The following is a 16,293-nucleotide window of genomic DNA, read 5'->3' as shown; positions in this document are numbered from 1 at the left end:
AATAAAGAAAACTCTCTAATTAGTCTTTATTGCCCTTGTTCTTCCTTCTCAAGGGGACTGTTGCTTTCCTGTTTTCCAAGATTATTTACTGCTCAGTCAATACTACTTCATACAATCGGGTTCCTGCATATTTTCCTCCATCCTTTTAACCTCCTTTTTTCTTCTCACTGTTTTCTAATTCATATCCACCAATCCAGAAATATTTCTTTTCCTCTCCTTCTTTCCAATTCATCAGTAGGTCAATAAACGACCCTGACCATGCCTAATAAGAATAATGCACATAGTGTATCTATTTAGGATAAAAAAAAAGATGCTCTGAAATTCAGCTAGAAATGAGAAAATCAGTCACCAGCTTAGAAGATCCTGCCAAATTTTCTGACCAAGTCTCTACCTAACTCTTCTAATCAAATTTTCTTCCATCATTGACACTGAGTTTCATATTTAAAGAATTTCTCTTTTTATGGTAGTGTTTATCTGGCACTATTGTAATGGTATCTTTTTTAAAAAAAATTCATTGCCGGCATATACTCTACTGCAAATAACTTTTTGAAGCTCACCTGGGGAAGTGAATCTTATAACTATTAATTCATATGAATAATTATAGTCTATTGATCTACTAATGTGAAAAGTATATTTGGGGCACTAAATAACAAACTCATAATATATTTTTACTACATCTTTTTCAGAGCCCCAAATTTCAGGCATTCACATATGTCCTTTGTATGTGTTCTACATATGTATAATCTGTAGCACTCTATTGCTTACTTCATATTTTTCTCTACATTGACTCCCAATTTAACCCAACTAAATTAGACAACATGAAAACTGTAAATCACTACCATAAATGGAAAGCTGGTATCACTTGCAAAAACCAGGGCTATTACCCTCAAACAATTTTATTTTATTTTTTAAATTTTAGACGGAGTCTCGGTCTGTCACTAGGCTGGAGTGCGGTGACGCGATCTCGACTCACTGCAACCTCTGCCTCCCAGGTTCAAGTGATTCTTCTGCCTCAGCCTCCCAATTAGCTGGGACTACGCCCGGCTAATTTTTTGTATTTTTAGTAGAGATGAGGTTTCAACGTGTTAGCCAGGATTGTCTCAATCTCCTGACCTCGTGATCTGTCCGCCTCGGCCTCCCAAAGTGCTGGGATCACAGGTGTGAGCCACTGTGCCAAGCCCCTTTAACATATTTTTTTTAAAAAACTTTCCCCTAGTCATTTCTGACATCAGTAGGGATACACATACCACTTCTGGGGACACCTGTCTCCTGGAAGTGTAAACTGGGAACAAAAGCTGATTCCTCGGGAACACAGAATCTCTCAGCAAAGCAGTAAGCTGGAGCCTCAAGAGACACTTGGTCCCAAGCCAGCCAAACGTGCTGGGAGAGCTGCCTCTGCAATGAGGATTCAGGGTCAGGGAGGACCTCAGAGACTAACAACTTATGCCAGTTCTGCTCTCTGATGTAGTTCATGTTGGAAACTAACACCTGGACTTTTCTTCCTTTAGCTAAGATGTTTGCAAACTCCATGCCATGAGAGGGGAAGGTGGGACAGGGAAGTAGCCAATGGGCTCTGGGCACAGGACACTGCCCTTTTTACTAAACCAAACATGCCTGGATTCGTTTTATGTAGTGGGCTTACATGGGAGATTGTATTTAAAGAAAGAGTTCTGGGCAAAGTAAAATGTTTGAAAATCACTGCTTTAATTAAGCTTAGACCATGTGAAATGACAAAGACCTTTAAAAGCACATTTTGACCTATGGTACTGAAGAGCAAAGAGGAGATTTTACAAGAAAAAGGGAGAAGACGCACAGTGCTCCAAGAAATGGAGAGGGAGTCCTAAAAAAATTTACCTACTTCTAATCATAGACTTTGCTGGCTTGGCAATTTTGATAAGCGTAGATCTTGTCTGGTGCTCAAATGGCCAGGAAATTGCAGTCCCATCTGACAGTAGGAATAGAAAATGCAGAATGGAGCTAGAAATGGAATAGAGATTTCTCAAGGAGCCAAAGGTGGAGGGACCTGAATTCCAGAGGTGAGAGGTAACAACATGGATTTGTACAGTGCAAAGCAGCAGCTGTAGGCAGATCGGATGGAAGAACTTTCTTCTAGTAGTTTCCAGACCCTGAAGACAGGCCCAGAAAGACCTTTGACCAGACCCAGGAGTTCCCAGCGTGCCAGGGAGGTACAAGCACTTAGTTAATGAGGGGTCCCAGCCAATAATCCCAGGTCCTGGAAGGCATGGTTAGGCTGTCTTGCCAGAAGGGTAGTCCTTGATTAGGACAGATGGACTCACATGACCACCCTGGAGTTGGTCACACAGGCTCCATAATGGCCACCCCAGAACTGTATGTCCTGGCCCCAGTGTTTGAAAGACACAAAGGGACAGCTCCAGGAACATTGTTGTGTTAAGTCAATAAGTTCTTCCACCTGTATAATCTCACACGGACCTAGAAAAGTAGGCAGAAGTGTATGCCCCATAACCAACACACGTACTAAAGCTCAGAGGGGCTAGGTGAATTTTCCCAGGCCATACAGCAGTGGAACTGCAAACAGCATAGCTCTGTTTAGCTGCTCTCATGTATCTAGATGTGGTATTCTTGCCACCATGCTAGTTTGTGTCGGGTCGGAAATTTACAAGGACTTGAAGTTGCGGAATTCAGACAGAGAGAGGTGAATGCATCATTCGACGGTAACTTGAGTCAAACACATTTGTGAAAACACTTGCTGGTCCTCACCTGCAACAACATCTCTGTACATGGCTTTGAAAGCTGGAAAGTAGCTACTCTGAAGCTTGTCCAGGAGCTTGGCCATGCCCCTCACCGTTATTGTTCTCAGTTGATTATAGATGTATTTCAGATCTTCATACCTGCAATATCATGAAGAAGGGTGAATCCAGGGAAGCATCAGGAAATGCAAGTCACACTGTGATGACCCATCGTCACACAGAAAGAGAGGAGCCCTGCCTCGGGGTGCTTCCACAGAGGCTGTGCTCCAGCCCAAAGAGCCTGGACATCTGTTCCCAGCCCAGTGAGGGCAAAAGCCTGAGCTGGGAACACAGGTTCAAAGGGGCAGCTCCAGGAAACACTGCTGTGACCATCTGGTGGCTCAAAAAGCTTGGCAGCTGGAGGTCATTAGCTCTGGCAGTAAGGTTGAGTCAGGGTGAGAGAGGCGTTATTGGAGCAAGGGTGCTAAGAGAAGGGCCTTGCAGTAGGTCAGCAGAATGGTCAGAAGCCAGGCAAGAGCATGGGGCATCTCAGCAGGGTGGTACAGACAAAAGGCTGGAGCCCTACAGGCATGTCTGGTCATGTGACACCGATAATCTCCATTCCATGCCAGGACAGGCACGTCTGCCGCTAACATCTGTCTGCCTCCTTTTGAGTAAAGGATTTATCAGCACGATAATAAATTGGAGTGAGGAAATGGGGAGGAGGAGGGCAAATAAGCAGGAGCAGGAGCAGGAGCAGGAGCAATAATGAAGCCTTTCTGGACAAACACCCTGGAAGATGAACTTTCCAGCCCTGCGAGTGATGAGCCGGAACACAGGAAAGGCTGTTCTGCAGCCAACTCCCCAAAACTCCTCTGTATTCAGAACTTTACAAAAGGTGTGTGCATGTGGCCTCAGCTGCTCAAGGAGAAGGGAGCAGATAAGTTAGAATAAAAATGTTAAAGAGTTGATTAATTTTACATATAGTCCAAAGAGCCTTTGAAAAAATGTAAGAGGACATACTGATGTGAACCCAGGAAAGGAAAAATGATTATTGAATCTTGGGGAAAGTGTGCATCTCCCAGTCTATCAAAAAACTCTCTTGACCCAATGACACAGAGCTGTCTACCCCACTGATGATGTGAAATACCTATAGGGAAGAATAGGCTCAATGGTGGCTTAACCCAGGAAAGCTCTAGCTTTAGTCTCTGTAAGACATCTTCACCCCAGACTTCCAGCATGTGCCTTCTTGCCTACCTGCTCTTCCAGAACTCCAACTCCACCTTAGGGGTGGGATTCTCCCCTTGTAAGAGTGGCTGGGAAGACTCTCTCTTGAGTACCACCTGGACTTGGTAGCTCCATTTGATCACTGCAGACTCAATGGCATAGATGACTGACTTATCTATAGAATCCAAGCTGTGAAAGACAAAACAACAACAATGATAACAACAAAAACAAAAACCCTGAGGCGTGAAAATAACCCTGGGTGTACCCCAAGACAGAATCCCAAATTTAAAAAAATAGGTGAGAAATTTCATCTAGCCCATGCATTCTTAACTTTTTTGGATAACAGTCTCTGTTGACTAGTCAACGAAAATTATAGATCCTCTCTCCAGAAAAAAAAAATGCTTATGTGTGTGTATGTACATTTTTCATACAGATTCAGGGCTCATCAATATCCTGAAGACTAGTTTAAGAACTTTGAATGCCAGTACGTTGTCCTGCCAATGCAGGAATACCGTGGACAGAAAATATTCAGATGACCACCCAATGCTTGCTTGAATCCTACCAGTGACAGCAAGCTCTCGACTTCACAAAGCAGCACCTTTCTCAATAGGTTGGCTCTCCCAAGGAAAAAGTTTGTCTCTATACTGAACCATTTCTAACTCCCTGTGATTTCCTCATCTTGGTCTTAGCTCTGACCTGTGCAGCAAGAGGAAATAGTTTATTTCCTCCTTCACAAGGCTAATAATCAGCCACCTGAAGATCACCATCACGATTTCACTTGGTCCTCATTGTTCCAGTGAAGAATAGAATTCCCAAACTTTTCCCCTCATACAACTTTTAAAGAAAGTAACTTAGCTATATTTGGAAGCAGTTAAAATTTTTTTAATACATTTTGGTCATTATTTTCACAGTCTTAACTGAAAATGATAGGTGCAAAGAATCAAGGACACAACGACAAAGAAAGAGGACATACAATTCACATTTTTATGTCAGAAACCCACTTCCACTTCATTAAATTAAATTTATATTTGCTGAGAAATGATACGGCACAAGTGATTGTGGAAGATATTAAAGGAAGAAGACACCCATTCCCCCAAAATGATCCAGTCTTTTGGGAAATTATCAAACTTGAACAAACAGAGATAAATTCAGCAATGATTAGAAACACACACTGAATGTTACAAAGTTAAAATATAAAGGGACTAGAAAAGGGGTAGTTTGAATTTATTTATTTTGAAGATTGGATATCTTTATTAAACCGCAATAAGTTTTCCAATTAACTGGGAAATTACTTCAAATTGTATATGTAGGAAATTACTTCTGATAGAAAAAACTCATTATAAAGTACATTGTTGTATTTTATAATGCATTGCACGCATATAATCTGTTGCATGCGTTACTTATTCTTCGGATCAAATCATGGATCCTGAATACACAATGTTGACAGTAATACATTGGGAAACTCCTGACAGTGTGGCAGACCGAGCTCATGTAGGAAGGCTGTCCGTTGCCACAAGCACATAGAGATGCTGGATGAAATATAGCAAAATATACTATTAATATTTATATGCATAGCCTGGCTTGAAAGGGGAAAAGAATTCCCAAGGGATAGAAACAAAGAAAACTCGAAAGTCAGCATGGTAAACAGAAGCTGACGGTGGATTCAACTTCTAAAAGGAGACAAGCCTGGGGTTTTAAGGCCTACTCAGGGGCAGGAGGCATGAACTCCCAACAAAGCCAGGTCCCAACAAAGCCAGATTTGCTACTATTTGAAAAGAGAAAAAAATCCCCAGGACCTGTAAAAAGTCTTCAGCTGCTGGGGGAGGAGAGTCTGGAACTGTAACAAGAGCCGGCAGCGATAGTTCTGTGACATTATGTACTGAGTAAACACTGGGAAGAGGCATGCCTGCCTCCCAGACTGGACCTGGGTCTTTGCCAATGATGAGACACTATCCTGATAAGCAAAATACGGAAAGCTAGTGTGGTTGCGCTCAGCCCTGAAATGATTCTGAAAGGAAAAAAAGGCCATATTGCTGTAATAGCCTTGGAAGACTTCATGCAGTGGCTGGGCCAGGGAGTAACCAGGGTAAACACACAGTCCACAGTCTGAGGGTGTCGGCAAACAGAGCAGACAGTAGGCTTGTGTGCAGAACGAGGAGATGTGCAGAGTCAGGAACAGAAAAGTTGTAAGGAAAACATTCTGATAACCAGCATCTCCCATATCTCAGAGGCCCATATGGCCAGGCTGGCGGTACTTACACTGTCTCACTTTTGGAATCCGCAAACTCCATTTTTTCTGAGCCTGCTGGAAGAGGCAGCAAAGTTTTTCCCTTCACTTGCTCAAGTATAACTGAGAGGTCACATTGGAGGCTGTGGGCGTGCCGCCTGACATCCTCACATATCATGTGGGGCCAGTTTAGGCGATTCTTCTCATTGGCCAGGACGGGTAGAACAACCTGGAACAGAGGTGCACAGGAAAGAAAGGCAGGTGTTCCAATTCTGAGAACTTAAAGAAATCCTCATCTGGAAAAGGCTTATAAAGCTATATACAACCTTTTGCAGGTCACTGTGCTGGAAGGCCTAATAATAGGGTCGAACATTACATACGACCTTGACATCTGGTAAATTGGGGAAGCCCTTGAATAGCCTGCTTACAAGTTTTCCTTCCCATTCTGCTCCTGGGGATAAAGCCCTCTAGCCAAAAAATTCTTTATCGGCTAAGTGCGGTGGTTCATGCCTGTAATCCTAGCACTTTGGGAGGCTGAGGCAGGTGGATCACCTGAGGTCGGGAGTTCGAGACCAGCCTGGCCAACATGGCAAAAACCCATCTCTACTAAAAATACAAAAATTAGCCGGGTGTGGTGGCGGGTTCCTGTGATCACAGCTACTCGGGAGGTTGAGGCAGGAGAATCGCTTCAACCCAGGAGGCGGAGGTTGCAGTGAGTCGAGATCACACCACTGCACTCCAGCCTGGGCGACAGAGTAAGACTCCATCTCAGAAAAAATGTAAAAAGAAAAAACAAAAAACTCTTTATCAAGAGGACGAGGCACAGTTCCCGCTTATCCCTGAGAAGCAGACTTCAGTTCCCTGCCAGCTGGTGGAATGATTTAAACTAGCCAATTGCGTCCCCCAGTGAGATCCAGGGACCACTACACCTTCTTGATACTATTAATACAAAGTGTGCTTTCCACAGCCCCTTGTCATTTAGTCTGTTCCCAAGAGCAATCCCCATGTGGCCTGCATGGCTCAGTGTCCTCTTCTGGGCTGTGAGTATGTTGACTGAAAAACTGCTGTCAATGGTGTCTGTCCTATGTTGGGTGTTGTATGTTTACCCATCTCCATCACTCTCAGGCAGGAATCCCTCCCTCATCAACGGGGTGAATAGGAGGTGATTAAATAGTCACAAAGGCCAGAGGCAAAAAAGGAGGACACAAGCAGATAAACATGACCTTCTGTCTACAGGTGGTGGGAAGGGCACCTTGAAAAGGCAAGCAAAGTTGAGGATCTTGAATCCATCTTTAGGGTGAACGTTAGGTTATTCTGGCCACCCAACATAGTTCCTCTTTTTTCAGTATTCATCCCCAAATCCATAGGTGAACATGGAACCAAATCTGAGCCAGTGAGAGTCAGGCCAAAGTGTCTTATGTGACTTTTCAAGGAAGAGACACCTTCTCTTTTCTGCTAGTGTGGAGCTTTTCTTGGTCACCTTCACAACCAATAGCGCCTTAGAATAAAGTTAATATGAGAGGAGAGTGCTTACAGATGGAGAAAGACCAAGTCTTGGTAACTTTGTTTGAGCTCCTAAATCAAGCTGCTCTTGAACTTTCCAAGCTAGTTTAAATTAGGTTTCTATTAATCGCAACTTAGAAACTTGTCAGTATACCGAGGTGGGCAGATCACGAGATCAGGACATCAAGACCATCCTGGCCAACATGGTGAAACCCTGTCTCTACTAAAATACAAAAAATTAGCCGAGTGTGGTGGCACGTGCCTGTAGTCCCAGCTACTTCAGGAGGCTGAGGCAGGGGAATCGCTTGAACCCGGGAGGCGGAGGTTGCAGTGAGCCGAGATTGCACCACTGCATTCCAGCCTGGAGACAGAGCAAGACTCTGTCTCAAAAAAAAAAAAAAGAAAAGAAAAGAAAAGAAAAGAAAGAAAGTTGTCAGTAAACTCACCCGGAATCTTTGACTGTCAAAATCTCACAAGTGATGGAAGGAGAATACCAGAAAGACAAACAGATGCTCATATAATGTGATGAGGAAGCTACCAATATATAAATAATCAAAAGGAAATATGAACTCATATGACTGGCTGGGTTATGATCAATAAGCCCCAGTGGCCGTGAAATAGAATACCTGGACCCAGCATGTTAGATTCTAGAGGATGGTCTTTGCCTGGTCTGTCTGGAAACATTCACTGAGCTGGGAACTTACAACAATCAGTAAAGGGAGCTCAAAAAGGAAGGAAAGTTTACAAATTAAGCTTTATCACATTCATGTTAAGAAAGAACCATTTGAACCCAGGGCAGAAGTCCTAACCGGGAAAGAGGATGAACTGGAATTTTCCTAGGATCTCAAAGGCAGGGACTCTATCTTATTTAATTTTTATATAGTCAGAGTTCTCTCCAGGATCTGGCATATAGAAAGCACTCAAGATGTTTATCAAATAACTGAATGTACACTGTCTGAAGAAAAAGGAATAGTTTTGAGTGGGGGTTTTAAGGGCTTTGAGTGACAGAAAAATAACGAATGTGAACTCTCTATGAAGTGAAAAGCAACTCATAGCCAGGTGCGGTGGCTCACGCCTGTATCCCAGCACTGAGAGGCTGAGGAGGGCAGATTGTTTGAGCCCAGGAGTCGGAGACCTGCCTGGGCAACATAGCAAGACCTCATCTGTACAAAAAAAAAAATAGAAAAATTGCCCGGTTGTAGTGGCGCATGTCTGTAGTCCCAGTTACTAAGGAGGCTGAGGTGAGAGGATCGCTTGAGCCCAGGGAGGTCGAGTCTGCAGTGAGCTGAAATCGTGCCACTGTACTCCAGCCTGGGCAACAGAGTGAGACCCTGTCTCGAAACAACAACAACAACAACAACAACAACAACAACAACAGACCAAAAAGCTACTCATTCATTTATTCAATGAGTATTTACTGAGCATCTATTATGTGCTGGTACTTTTCTAGGTGCTAGGAGGATACACCCGTGAACAAAACAGTCAAAAATTTCTGACCTCATGAAGCTTATATTCTAAGGGAGAGACAGTCAAGAAACAGTAAGTTCTGTGAATAAAGATAAAGCATGTGAAGGGAATCAGGAGTGTGGGGTGGAGGGGCTGCAATTGTAAATGTTGAGGTTGGCCTGACTGAGAAGATAAGATTTGAACAAAGGCTGGGAAGGATAGGGGGAGTGCTTTGCAGATCCTTGGGAGAAGTATATTGCAGGGAGAAGGAACAGCCAGTGCAAAGGCCCCGAGGTGGAAGCATGCTTGGTCTGATCAAGGAGCAGTGTGGAAGCAAGGAAAGCGGGGACAGAGTGATCCCAAAGAATAGGTGAGAGTAAAGGGAGTCAATTCACATGCAGCCTTGCCTGTGAGATTTTGATTTTTACTCTCAGAGAAATGGACATCATTGAAAGTTTTGAGCAAAGGAGTGCCATAGGCTGAGATCGTTTTGAGTAGGATCAACCAAGCTGCCGTGATTATAGGCTCTAAGGGGCAAAGGTGGAAAGGGAGGCCACCTACCAAGTTGGTGCTATAATACAGAAGACGGTGGTGTGGCACAGTGGGTAGTGGGGGAGATGGTAAGAAATGGCCTGATTCCATACAAATTTTGAAGGTATAGCCAATAGGATGTGTTAACAAATTGCTTTAGGAGTCGCAAGAGAAAAAAAAAGGGTCAGGATGACTCTAAGATCTGTGGCTTGAACAACGGGAAGAATGGAGTTGCTGTCAACTGATGTGGGGAGGAGTAAAGGTGGAGTAAGATCTTCAGAGAAGATACAGGAGCTTTTGTTTGCACATGTTAAAATGTAGTATCTCGATTGGACTTTAAGATAGAGATGTTGAGTAGGCAGCTGGATATGCTAGTTGAGAGTTCAGAGGAGAAGAGAGGGCTGGAGATAACAAATTTGGGAGGTGTCAGATACAAATGGCTTGTGGAACTTTGAAATTGAATGACAGCCCCCAAGAAAATGGGTGTATATAGAGAGAAGAGAAGACGTCCAGGGAATGAGCCGTAGGACCATCTGGTGTTAAGAAGTTGGGAAGAGGACGGGCGCGGCGGCTCACACCTGTAATCCCAACACTTTGTGAAGCCAAGGTGGGCAGATCACGAGGTCAGGAGTTTGAGACCAGCCTGGCCAACAGAGTAGAAACCCCATCTCTACTAAAAACACAAAAATTAGTTGGGCATGGTGGCGGGCACCTGTAATCTTAGCTACTCGGGAGGCTGAGGCAGGAGAATTGCTTGAACCCAGGAGGCGGAGGTTGCAGCAAGCGGAGATCATGCCACTGCACTCCAGCCTGGGTGACAGTGCGAGACTTCATCTCAAAAAAAAAAAAAGAAGTGGGGAATAAGAGGAGGCACCATCACTGGTGATAGCCATGGTGATAGGAGGAAACCAGAAGACTGGTTCCTGGAGCCCAAAGAAGAAAGCGTTTCCAGGAAGAGAGGATGATCATGAGCTATGACAAACGCTGCTCTCAGGTCAAGCCGAACGAGGACTGATTCAGGGCCGTTCAATTTAGTCAAGTGGAGATCATCAGAAACATTGACACGTTATTTTATTCCTCTTCTGTGAAGTGAGAAAGTCAAAGCCTGATGAGTGATGATGAGATAAAACAGGAAAATAATGAGACACCAAGAGGAGACACACATTCCAGGAATTCTGCTATGAAGGGGGTCATAAACATAGGGTGACAGCTGGTGGGATGAAAGGAGGATTTTGCTTGATGAGAATTATCTAGCAGAGAGGAGAAAAATATGAATGCAGGGGAGAAGAGGAAATTGCTAGAGTGATCTCCTCAGGAATGTGTGGGATTCAGAGCACAGGCAGCAGTTTCAGCCTTAGGGTTGGCATCAGAGGGCAGCACAAACAGTTTACCTCTAGCAACGGATGGGATGGCAGAAGATACAAGGAGAGATGCTGCAGTCAAAGTGGACATAAGAGTTCGTGGACTTGTTATTCTCGTTTCCGTTTCTTAAAAAACCAAGAAAGAAGCAAGAGCGTCTCAGAGTGAGGTTAACAGGAGGTTTTGGACATTTGAAAGAAGAAAGATTTTTCTTTTCAAATTGTTTCTCACGTTGGGAAATAGTGATCTAAAAGAGCAAGAAAATATAGTTGGAATAGAAAAAAAATAGAATGTCTGCTGGGAAACATAAAAGGCTTACTTAGCAGTTCGAGAGGTCGTGTATTTAAAGAGGAGCCCATTGGTTTTTCCCTGGTCTCTTTTAATTTAATGGGTGCAGGTATGAAGTATGTAGAGCTGGGTTTTACCAGGATTGTGGTTGCACCAACTGAGTATGACATAGTGAGGTAGAGGCCAGTACATCAGGAGCTGATGCAAGGGTATGATGATCATGAAGGAGCATGGCACTCAAATTGGGTAAGAGAAGAGACCGTGTGCATGGTCCAGGGCCAATGGGAAGGAGCCAAGGTCAAGAGATTGGAGCTCCCAGCAGGATCAAAGGACTGTTGTAGTCAGGGTATGAGAGAGAGTGAGCTGGAAAGATGGGAGTAGTGGTCAGAGAAGGAGGTGCATAAAATTGGACAATGAGGTTGGTGGTTGTTGGGAATGCAAGGTCTGGAAATGGCCATGGGAGGGGCTGCTTATGATCGGGAGGAGGACAAGATCACTGGAGGACAAAGATACAGAGAACCCAGAGGCCAAGTTATTGGAAGGGTCATTCACATGTCTTTGGAAATAACCACATATTAGAAGTAATGTTGGGGAGAGCCACAGTGAGTTGGGAGGCAAAATCATACACACGCAAGGGTAGCACCATCTGTACAGGATGCAGCAGTGAGAGTGGATGATGTCCTTTGATGACAGGAGATTCAAACTGGAGGCTTTTTGATGTGGATCTAGAGCAGCAAGGAGGAACAAGGAGGCCACCTGCCCCAGCTCCAGGCTTAGGAGAAGGCTGTAGGGGAAACGCAGCTGAGTCCTCCAGGAGGAGCCAGGATGGGTTACAGCAAGGTGACAAGGATCCATCAGATGGGTGAGGAGGATTTTAAATAGGATGAAGAGTGACAAGAATTCTCATCCTTTATGGAACACCTGCAGTGTGACACTCTATTCCAGGTGTTCTAATATATGATGTCTAAATTTCATAGCAACCCTGCAAGACAGTTTTGGACCTGGCAGAGTGAGCACATCTGCTCACATCACACTGCTGAATTTAACCAGAATTTGACTTAGGTCTGTGAGATTCCAAATCTTATGCTCACATTCCAAAATGCAAAAAGTCAAAAAAAAAATCCAAGTTTCAGAGCTAGGAAAAATAAGTTGGCAGTAGTGAATGATGTGGTTGGAGGAGGAAGTAAGGAAGTAGGAGAACAAGTTACTAAATTCTGTTAATTCTTCCTTTCAAACATTTCTTAGGCACATTTTCCTTTTTTACCTTGTACTCGTAGAATGGAACAAAAATAATATTAAAATTACAGCTTTCTCTCAGCCAACACCCTCAATCCTACCCCCAAACCGCCCCGCCCACACACACACAAGGCAGGAAGACGTCTCTCAGCCAGGTAGGTTCTTCTGGCTTTAGCGATGCTGCATGGGGAGGTGGAAGGAAAAGGGGAGCAGGTAATCAGAGACTATTAAGCTGATTACAAGGTGCTGAGAGAGAGGAGAGGGGGTGGACAGGAGGGCTGGGCCAGAAGGAGGGTCTTAGCAGATGGGAGGCCAACAAGCCTTGAAAGAGACACTGGATCAGCTTCAGGGTATGGAATAAAAGTAGATGGATGGACAGAAAGTGGAATAAAGTTACTGGTACAAGCTTTGAGAAATGCAAGGAAAGGACTTGAGTTATTTTTAAAATAAGTTATTTATTTAGGTTTTAAAATAGGTAATACATTTACATGGGGCAAAAATTTAAACGTACAAAAGCTTTTACAGTGGGAAGTAAATCTTCCACCTACCCCTGTACTTCAGTTACTGTTTCTCCTTCTTGTGGATTACTGTTAAAGAATGTCCTCTCTTCCTCCCTCCCTCTCTCCCTCCCACCCTCCCTTCCCTCCTTCCTTTCTCTCTTCTTCCCCTCCTTTCTTTTTTAAACATAAATAGTAGCATACCATCCATGCAATTCTGCACTTCTTTAAAAAATTATCTTAAATTGCAGCATTATTCACAAAAACCAAGAGACAGAAACATCCTAAGTGTCTATGATGGATAAATTTTTTAGAAATGTGGTATATACATACAATAGAATATTGTTAAAAAAAGAAAGAAATCCCGCATATGACGATAGGCGGTGACGATATGGATGAACCTTGAGGACATTATGCTAAGTGACATAAGTCAGTCAGAAGGAACAAATACTGCATGATTCCACTTATATGATGAGTCAGGTTCATAGGAACAGAAAGTAGAATGGTGCTAGCCAGGAGCTCAGGGGAGCGATGTGTGGCTTGCTGGGTGTGTGTGGAGTTTCAGTGATGCTGGACGGGGCAGTTCTGAGGATGTGTTGCACAATAATGCATATGTGGTTGACAATATTGTACTCTACACTTGGAAATTGTTGGGTGAATTTTACGTCATGTGTTTTTTTTGCCACAAGGAAAAAATTACCCTAAGGAATAACTCCGGTTGGACATGGTGGCTCACACCTGTAATCCCAGCACTTTGGGAGGCCAAGGCAGGAGGATCACTTGAGTCTAGGAGTTTGAAACCAGCCTGGTCAACATAGCAAGACCCTGCCTCAAAAAAAGGAATATTCCATATCAGTCATTCTTTTTAATAGTTGCAAAGTATTTCACTGTATAGATGGCCCATAATTCAGTCACCCAGTCCCCTGTTGATGAACATTGTTTGTCTCCAATCTCTTTCAATGCACCAATGAAAATTCTTAAACATTCGAGAATTTTCATTATTTTAAAATTATTTTTCTTGCTGGACTACTTTGCTTGGCCATGACACAACTCTGAGATGGGCCTTCTGTCTCCCACATACACTAGGTTAAATCCTGTCTCTGAACCTTTGATCAGTCTGCTCTCAGTATCTTGAAAGTTACCTTGCTCTCTACTTATACAAATTCTTCTAATTGTTCAGGAGACAATTCAACACTTATGTTAAGCATGCTTCTCAGATCACAGGCCTGTCTTTCTCCTCTGAAGCCAAAAGTACTTTCTATCGTCAACATTCATTAGAGAAGCTGATCTAAGTTCAGGCTTCAGCGGGATGGCTTTCAGACAATGCACAGTTGCAAGACCATTCTGTTTGTTAAAATATTGAAATACCTCCATATCTAAGAGATCTAGCTTCCTGGGCCCTCTGTGTCCTCCTCTATCTATCCAACCCTTTCCCTGGAATTTTCACCTCCCCACAGCCTCCTGATACACCATCTAAAGGGCTTACACTTGACATAGCAGGGAGACTCCAGGACTTGCATCCAGCAGTGGGGCCAACTTTTAGGTAAGCTTTACCCTCACCCCAGTCTTAAAAGTTTGAAACATTTTGAATATATGAATTATTACATACGTTTCAGCTCCTTGGAGTAAGCATTTCATGGGTGGGAATAGTTCTTTGGTATTCCCTATAGCACCTATCACCTGAACCATCATACAGCCAGTATTCTGCCCATCCTTATTTCACAACCTGCAGGGTCCAGGGCATCAAGCCTCCATAAGCACACAGCCTGACTTGCAGGGCAGTTTACTCCCATTCCAGAAAGGTCTAAGGGGCCCAGGAATCTCTCTGGAGCACTTCCCTGAAATCTCCTGCATTCTCGAAGCTTCTGCTGTGGTGCCACTAAAGCACTCATGACCCACATCTCCACCTTCCTCCCTGAGCTTCAGGCAGACTCCTCCAAAGGCCTGCTGGGCATTTCCAAATGGGAGCCCAACTTCTTATGCTGGCACAGGGCTGACCTTTGCTAAATGGTTGGTAATGAATGAATGAGATGAAAATCAAAAGCAAATCACTACCCACCTCCCCCTCCCATTTAACTGCTCTCCAGAAGTAGGCACTGTTTATAGCCATCCACCTCCTTCCACCCCACTGATCCATCAGAAATGCCGTCTTGTCCACTTCCCATCTTCTTCAGATCTTTCCAATTTACAGGAGGGATTACGAGAGGCTGATTTTGAAAGTAGTCAGAACCTAGGCACTCTTCAGATTATGGTCTTCCCCTGACTTTGGCTGGAACCCAGACCCGGACTGACCCAAGCCTCAGCTCCTTCCCATTCTCATTCTGGCCTGGCCTCCACCCAGATCCCTCCCTCCGGACCCACCCGACTCCGCCCCTAACCCCATCCCATTTTCTTCCTGACTTCAGGAACTTCCCTCCTGGTTGTGCTCCCTCCACAGCCTCGCCCCTCTGCCTATCACTCCGCCTCTTGGACCTCCCCTGCAGCTTCGCCCCGCCCCCTCTGGCCCCGCCTCCGTCCCTTAAGGCTCCTCCTCCCCTCCCCCACCCAGCTTTAGCCGCGCGGGGACACTAACCCACCCTCACCTCCGAGAACAGCGCGGCTAGGTGCTCCAGAGGTGCCGCGGGCAGGTCCCCGCAGACCACTGCGCCGCGGAAGCTGTCGGGCCCTGGAGGCTCGGGCCCGGTGCGAAGGAAAAAAAGCGCCTTAGCGCCAGCCAGGCCCGACTCAGGTCCCACCTCCAGCCCGGGGCGTATTGCCAGGCCCCTGGGCCCGGGCCGCACCACCAGCAGCGGCCGCGGCCCCTCGGCAGCATCGCGGCCCAGGAAGGCCTGGAGCAGCTGCTCCGCCTCAGCACTCCCCGCGCAACGCTCCCAGGCGCCCGCAGCCGGCCGCAGGCTCATGGCCACGTAGGTCCCCAGGAGTCGCAGTCGTCGGTCGGCGCCGGGTTCCCCATCCGCGTTCTCCGCCGCGAGCGCGGCCCGCTCCTCCGCGAGCCGCATCGCGCGCGGCCTCCAGCTGCATCGGTTTCCCTAGCGACGGGGACGCGGCCAGGACTCACTCCTCTGCTCCCTTCCTATTGGGCACGGACCCCTGGTCCCGCCCCTTCCAGGCTAATAAGGTAGGAGGTGTACGCGGGAAGGGGCGGGGTCGCGTCGCTGTTGCTAGGACACCAGCCGAGACTCGTACTCAGTGTCTGCCTGGTGTATTGGGAGTGCTGAAGTGTGACCGTGGAGCGCAATGGCTTATTGATGGGCTGCGTGGAGAGGAGATC

General features: G+C 45.4%; 1 protein-coding gene across 5 annotated transcripts in view; it reads right to left on the bottom strand.

The window, feature by feature from the left end:
• The window catches only part of DNAH9 (dynein axonemal heavy chain 9), a 371,279-nt gene extending 355,229 nt beyond the window's left edge, over positions 1-16,050 (bottom strand). For all 5 annotated transcript variants that reach the window (XM_011523703.3, NM_001372.4, XM_017024292.3 and 2 more), the window contains exons 1-4: positions 15,605-16,050; positions 6,195-6,391; positions 3,966-4,124; positions 2,740-2,870 (exon numbers count right to left, since the gene is read on the bottom strand). In XM_011523703.3, coding sequence (XP_011522005.1) covers positions 2,740-2,870; positions 3,966-4,124; positions 6,195-6,391; positions 15,605-16,021 — 904 coding nt within the window. In that variant the 5' untranslated portion in view covers positions 16,022-16,050. The remainder of the gene's footprint in view (positions 1-2,739; positions 2,871-3,965; positions 4,125-6,194; positions 6,392-15,604) is intronic.

Source organism: Homo sapiens, chromosome 17, assembly GCF_000001405.40.
Source record: "Homo sapiens chromosome 17, GRCh38.p14 Primary Assembly".
Taxonomy (NCBI): domain Eukaryota; kingdom Metazoa; phylum Chordata; class Mammalia; order Primates; family Hominidae; genus Homo; species Homo sapiens.
Note: the sequence above shows the minus strand (reverse complement) of the source record. Positions and strands in the feature narration are given on the sequence as shown.